Raw genomic sequence first — 7,881 nt, 5'->3', positions numbered from 1 at the left:
TTATTGAATGACTGTGTTGTCCAAATAAGAATTTTTCTGTCATTTGGGGGATTACTATCATTTCAGGATAGCTAAAAGAAGCTCTCTTTGCATGTGTTCGGAAGTCTAATAGATGTAAGATTTTATCTTTTAAAAATTAAGCCTTGAATGTCTTGCCCTGAGTCTTATTGTGTTCTTTAAACAAAATTTCATCCTAAGGGCATTTCCCCTGTTTGGAGTAAAGAAAGGGAGTTATTCCATTATACCTGATATTAATGATGCAATGTGTAAAACTATTTGACTTTTAAAATTCCAAAAATGATAGCTCTTTTCAAACACTTCATTTCCTTTCCACTGCAAATTTTCTTCTTCTCCAATCCATATCGTGCTAACATAATTGAAACTTTTATGATCCCCATGACTGTGGTCTGATATTTATAACATACAACATCATCTCATACGTCTGTGACTGCTCTCAAATAAGAGAGATCTTTATGCAATAATCCTCCTATTGGAAGATATGCTTGGGTCAGCATAAAGACCAGCACCACATGTGCTTTGTATAAATGCTGTGAAAAATTCAGATGTGGCACTGCTGAAGAAGAAACACAGACAGAAACCCTAAACACATCATAAATCATTACCGTCCCTTAAAACTATATAATTTTTTTCCTTGCCTAAAAGCCTGGAATCTTTCATTCTGTGTTAAGTAACTCAGTAGCATCTTCCCTTAAAAATATATGACCCGTAATCAATTAGGGCCTGGAGAGACTGTTCTTCTATATTTTGTGCAATGCCTACAGCACTTTGTAGTGGCCAATAAATATTTTATAATAATAGCTGCATGCCAGCTATCTAGTATGTGTCATAGATAAACTTTATTTTCAGGCAAATGGTGGAAATACATCCCAGTTTTTGACACCTGTGGCTTTTCATTTCTATAAAACTTGTGATGTCTGGGAATCTGGAGACTTTTGGAGTCAAATGATATCCTTTAGAGCTAAAGACAGTATACATGTGACTTAGCAAATGGCTATCAGGGACAGAAGTCATGCTTGAATCTAGGGGATACTCCTGGTGGCTTTTATATTATTATTATTATTACTACTAGAGTCAACACTTAAATAGTATTACTATGCATTTTCCATATGTTGACTCCTTAATTTTTATTACAAACCATTGTCTGGAAGTAGAAACTACTATTATACTTATTTTACAATGGTGGCACAGAAAGGTTAGTTTACTTTTCTAAGGTCATACAGCCTTATGGTGGCAGAGTGAAGGATTTAAACCCAAGGAGTCTGGCTCCATAGTCCCTGCTTGTCTGGAACCGTTGAACTGTAATCCGTTTTAGGAACCTCTCACCAACCTCCTCCCAACAGCTCCCAGAAGTATCTAGGTCTTCAATTTTTTTAAGAATTGAAAGGACTGGTTATGGGCTAGATTCCGTCTTAGATTTTTTTCTTCTCCAGAATCCTCACTCTTTGGTTCACAAGAGTTGTCCTAGAGGGTGTTCAATGAGATAATTTAGATGTGGATTGGAACCTGGACACAGTGGGGTAGGAGGCATCAAAGAGTCCTCATAGATATCTGGAAGTATGGTAATGCCATCAAGGGAAATGGAAAAGTCCAAGTCTGGCAAGGCTGTGTTTGAATTTGTGCAAGTTTAGTTTTTGGTGGTGGTGAAACATCTCAACAGCTTCATGAGACAACTGGTAACATGGTTCCAGAGCGGCATTTCTGGAACCACATGCATCAGAATCACTTGAGCCAGAAATTCCAAGAGAGACCTAGGAATCTGCATTTTAATGTGCTTTCCAGTTGATACTCATGGGTCACTATTTGTTTTGTTTTGTTTTCAGAGATAGGGTCACAGCAGCCTTGAACTCCTGGGCTCAAGTGATACTCCAGCCTCAGCCCCCTGGGTAGCTGGGATTACAGGTACCAACCACCACGCCTAGCTGTGGGTCACCATTTAAAAACTGCTGGGTAAGAACTTTAGAGACAGCAGTCAGAGATGTCAATTCAAGAGCCACAAAATGTCGAGTTGTCAGAGGGAAAACAGTAGCACAAAAGAATTTTGAGATCTCAACTCACACTGGAGAGGTGAGCCAGAGAGGAGTGTGGGAAAAGGGAAGAGCGGCATTCGGAAATGAAGAGGGGCCAGGGCTGTGCAAAGAGGAGAAGGAGAAGAGCTGCCACTCTTCATGGACATAGGCACAGAAGGAACCATTCAGTACTGGGATGAAGGCAAGGGGGAGACATGCTTAGAGAATCAGGAGGTGTGGGTGATGGCAAAACACAGACCCTGAAAATGAGGATTGAAATAAGATGGTGGTATGAAGGAGCATCATTGCCAAGAGGTGGTTTTATAAGTTGAGGAAAATCTGAACTTGTTCGAAACCCTATAGGGCAACATGAGACAGTTCTAGACGGGGTTGATACCACATTGGGCCAAGCAGGGTAGGACAGAGTGAGCAAGGACTTGGGTTTTTGTCCTTTCCTGTGTCATCCTTTCAGTAAGATTATTGTGGTTCAGTGATAAGTAATTGTTTTCCATTTATCTTTAATACTTTGATGATGATTGATATAAACTAGTCTTTAAAAGGAGATATTTTTGATGCATTGTAATCATGTCTGCGTAGGCTGAAAATACACCCTCCCCGCGCCCCCGGAAAAAGGATATCCACATTCTAACCTCTGGATCCTATGAATCAAACATTATGTGGTAAATAAAGGGTCTTTGCAGATATGATTCAGTTAAGGATCTTAAGATTGGAGATTATCCTGTATTGTCCAGGTAGGCCCTAAATGCAATCACACAAGTGCATATAAGACAGAGTTAGAGGGAGATTTGTTACACAAATGCAATCACACAAGTGCATATAAGACAGAGTTAGAGGGAGATTTGTTACACACACACACACACACACACACATGCATGTACACACACACTCACTGACAGAGAAGAGAAAAGGGGGCAGAGATGGGAGTGAGGTGGCCACCCACGGAAAACCTGCAGTGCCTACAAGGTGCAAGGGGAAAGGAATGAATGCTTCCCTGGAGTCTCTGAAGGGAGCCCTCGGAACAACTTGGTTTTAGCCCTGTAAGACCCATTACACATTTCTGGCCTCAGAACTGTAAGAAAATAAAAGTGTGTGGTTTTAAGGCTTGTGCTACTTTGTCACAGCAGCAGTAGCAAACTAATATAGTAAGTCCTCACTTAACATCATGGATGGGTTCCTGGAAACTACAACTTCAACCAAAACAATGTATAACAAAACCATTTCTCTTTCTCATCAATGTTATATCTAAACAACAAAGGATTTGGGGGACCTGCCATATATGTTTTGCTTAAATTTGCAGCTTCTAATAACCTATGGATGATGGTAAGTGAGGACTTTCTGGATAATGTCCCAAAGTTTGCCTGCGTCGGGGGTGGTGATATGATGTACAAAAGAAAAGATTCTCTTTTCATGTCCCTCCAGCCAATGCCACATTTATTACTAGGTGGATTAAAAATCACACCCTTGACAAAGGCACTTTCAACCGCTGCATTCTTCCCTGTCTTCTTGACAGTTGGGAAGGAATTAAAACACTTTGCTTTCCTCACAGTGACTAATGGGGCTTGCTGTGCTATTAGAGCAGTGCCTTACTGTACTTTTTTTGGGTAAATTGTGGAACTCATTACTGTAATACTTGAACAAATTTAAACACCTAACTCACGCTCCTCTTTTATTCCTTTCTCCCTGGGTGACTAACTGTAGATATGTATAATGAAACCAAATAAACTCCATGAAGTGTGTAATGCCTACTTAATTCTGTCCCTATTCTCTAAATCAAGTACTTCTCTTTCCTGTCTGACCTGAGTCAGTCATTAAGCACATACAATAATACCCATTTGTCCACATTTAGTTGCCTGGAGTTAGTATAGATGGAACTTGATTTCAGTTAGGTTGTTGGGGCACTTAGTAATTAACGGAAAAAACCTTTATATTAGTCTAAAGATAAGAAGTAGAATTTGGCCAGCCGTGGTGGCTCACATCTGTAATCCTAGCACTTTGGGAGGCCGAGGCAGGTGGATCACTTAAGGTCAGGAGTTCAAAACCAGCCTGGCCAATATGGTGAAACCCCATCTCTACTAAAAATTTTAAAAAAAGTAGAATTTATAATGCTGTCTGATTGCAGTGATGCATACCTGCCTTCTTGGAGACTTTAAGGAAACACAAAAGTGGTTGGAGAGTTACATGTACAAAACACATGCACGCACACACGCGCGCACACACACACAAGCATATGTTGCCAGAAAATAAAGGAGACAGACAACAAATGGTATTCAAAATTTTGTCTTCTTTCTTACACTGCCAATAAGGGATAAACTCATTTTCTTTTGTAGATAAGGACAATTTGGACTGAATGTCAATTGGATTAAAAAGCTCAAGTTGGCATTTAAAGAGATTGATATCTCTCACTCCCTTTGACCTCTGTTTTTCTTTAATTCATATGAAACTTAGAGGAGAAAAAAAAGTAACTGAGTGAAAATGTCACAGAACAGTTTTAGTTGTTTCATACAAAGTAGTTTGTAGATGAAATTTTCTGCTATTTCTTAGGGATTAACAGCCCTATTAAAAAAAATTAACCAGTGATCTTAACTTGGTTAACCTGAGATAGTTTTGAGATTCTCTTTTGCCTTGATCTTTTGTTTTATGATGCTACTCTGAGAATACCTGGCCTAACCCAAATTGGAATGAAGTCTTGACTCTGTTTTATGCATTCCTATTCTTTCAAGCCTACTCATTTGATTTTAATGTTTGGGAAAGCTGGAATTATGAGTTAGGAAGAAGCAGCCGACTGTCTGAGTATTCATGCATTCAGCCCTGAACCCTTTTAAATGTACTCATCAGTATTCAGCAAGCATAATTCATGCCTCCATCAAGCAAGCAATTGCTAGGATACATTTTCCAAAAAAATACAGGGAAAAAAAGAAACCTAAAATGGATATATGTCTCAGGACTTCCTATGCTTAAAACACCAAGGCTTCTTCTTTTTCTGATTACCTTTGTATCCAAAAGTCAAAGTAACTCACCAAGTGAAAAGGGTCTTTAAGTTTTCTCAGTCTAATTCCTATAGTGTTTTTGAATCTCTTAAGTGATTTCTCCAGATTCGCCTCACAGACTTCTGACTTTCACTCCCCTCCAGCTCCATTCTGTAGGAGGCTTGTGGTGTGTTGACTACTGTGATTGGACTCGTCTGGACTTCAGGTAGCTCTTTGATTATGATTTCAGGTTCTGAAGCCAGAAATGCTTCCTGGCTCAGCTCCCGCTTTCTGCATAAACTCTAGCACTAACAATGACTAGAGAAGCAGGGAAGTTGGTGCCCACTATTCCTATGGTGTATTGAAGTTAAAACTAGCAATCCCAATGAATTAGGCAACCACTAATTATAAAGTGCCATAATGACAGAATGACCCTTCCATGGAGGATGTTACCAGGTGTCCTAATCCGACATGTTGGTGCCCATTGTCAACTGTAGAATAGTCATTGTGACTGAACTGACTGCCTTCCATGAGAAAGTCCACTAGACCCTAACATTTGTGGAGCCCAGAACAAGAAGGTGCAAGGAGGCTCTCTGTCCAATCCCCCTTCTTTTCCCACTTTTGACTTTCTCCCAAAGCTTGAGGGGCATTGCATGCATGCTGATGGACATGACAGCCTGCAATTGCCAACCTCCCTTTACATTCCCCCACTCCAGTCAGCTGCTCTTTGGACACTCTTCAGGTGGCTCAGCATATTATCATAAGTATGGACAGGAAAAGAGGTCCTCACAAGCCTAGCAGGCCAGCGAGCATCCTAATGGCAGAGAATTAATTCTAGAGTCCCAAGTATCCATAGCATGCTCTGTAGGGGAAAAGAGGGCACAGGCTTCATGTGGGGTGGGCTGCCCTTTTGGACCCTCAGACTTTTTACCCTGTAGGGATGTCATGCTTGGAGAAGTGACAGATCAGGGCCTCTAAACATCAGGGCTTAGGGCAAGCCCCCCGCTTGACTGGTGGCAGTACTAGAAAGAGAATTTTTTTTCTAGGTTAAGTTAGAGTTGTGTCTGCTTTGTGACTCATAATTCCTTCTGTATCTCTTCTTTTTCTTTTCTTTCCTCTTTTTCTCTCCCCTTCTCCTTCTTTTTCTCCTACTCACCCCCTTTCTCTTTGTTGTATTTTTCACCCCCCTTGCTCCCTCTCCACTACACAAATACTTACCAGCATCTTGTTCTAGAATGCTGCAGTTTGGATGAGTGCAGATGGTTTAGCTTAACTCTTCCTCACTAATGCACAACTCTAGAGTTTTTTCATCCAGTCAGCAGCACAGGTGGACCACGGAACAGAAGGAAGTCCGCTTGTATAGTTTGGAGACATTTTTCCAATATGCCCCATAGGACATTCCTTGTGGTTTTTAGTTTCCAAGTTGGATGAACCCAGACTCTACTATCTACCTACCATGTTGCCTTTTGTTCTTAATAAACTTCCTTTTTATTGGCTCTGTCTGTAATGGCACAGAATCTGCTAGACAACACAGGCACACTTGGCCTCTATATTTGTAGGGGATAGAAGGTGTCAAATGCATAGTATTAGAAATGTAAAGCCTTTCACTTTATTGAGATGATAAAAATGATAAGGAGGGGGCAACATTTTTGTATCAAGAAATAATAAATGATTTAATTTCCAAATATTCTCAATATCGTATTAAAACATGAAGTGGAATAAGGCCAGGACATATTGAGAGAAGCAAAGAAAAAAGAAAAGGCATGAGAAAAATATTTGGCTATTTTGTTGTTAACTAAGAAACGTATTATAAGGAAACGCTGTAACTTTTAGGCAATATGCTATTCAAACTATAGACCTGAACTGTCCAACGCAGTAGTCACTAGTCAAATGCGACTATTTCGTCCTTGAAAGATAGCTACTTTGAACTGAGATTTTCTGTTAAAAAAAACACACTAGATTTTGAAGGTTTAGTTAAGAAAAGGTAAAATATCTCAATTATTTTTCATATTGTTACATGTTGAAATATTAATATTCTGGATATATTGGATGAAATAAAATATAGTATTAATATTAGCTTCACCTGATTTCTCTGAGTTTTTAATGTGGCTACTCAAATATTTTAAATTACATGTATAGCTCACATTTTCTTTCTCTTGAGCAATGCTGGTGGAGATAGTTCTGAAAGTTGAAAGTTGACATCTATCACATGGTTTATATCTATATATATGTTCTATATATACTGTTATTTATGCATATATAAATATAGAAAATGTTATTTATAGAGATAAAATGTTAAGAAAGAGCTGAGGGTTTGGGTGGGCTGGTTTGCATGTTCGATGCAGGAATTGATTTCTCTGGAGGAAGGATGACGGAGTAATTTCATTTTTGCTCCTCTTAAATGACACACACAGTTTCTCGTGGGTTTAAAAAGAAAAGTGCAATCTAATAATGGTCTGAGCGACTCTTTGGCCTGTTTCATTTCTGGATCTTTGTGTGGGAGGCTCTATCTTGTCATTCTTTTCTCTGCTCAAGGTCATCTCTTCATAGAAACTTCCCTATATAACCCCAGCTCAATGCTGCCCACTTGTCAGTCACTCTCTTTCACAATTTCATTTTTTGGTGCATTTACAATTATGAGAAATTACCTTGCTTGCTTGCTAGTTTATTTTCTCTTTCTCCTACTAGAATATAAGCCACATGAGGACAATGGAAGTATCTAAATTGATTATCACTGTATCCCCTGTGCCTAAACTTGACGGTGACCATGGATGCAGGGCAGGTTGTAAAGCACTTAGTAAATACCTGCCGTTGGTTGATTTTCTAAGCACCTGTGTGCTATATTGTGGCTAGACATCATGATGCAA

Source organism: Homo sapiens, chromosome 9, assembly GCF_000001405.40.
Source record: "Homo sapiens chromosome 9, GRCh38.p14 Primary Assembly".
Lineage (NCBI taxonomy): Eukaryota > Metazoa > Chordata > Mammalia > Primates > Hominidae > Homo > Homo sapiens.
The sequence above is the reverse complement of the archived record's forward strand: the minus strand, read 5'-3'. Positions refer to the sequence as shown.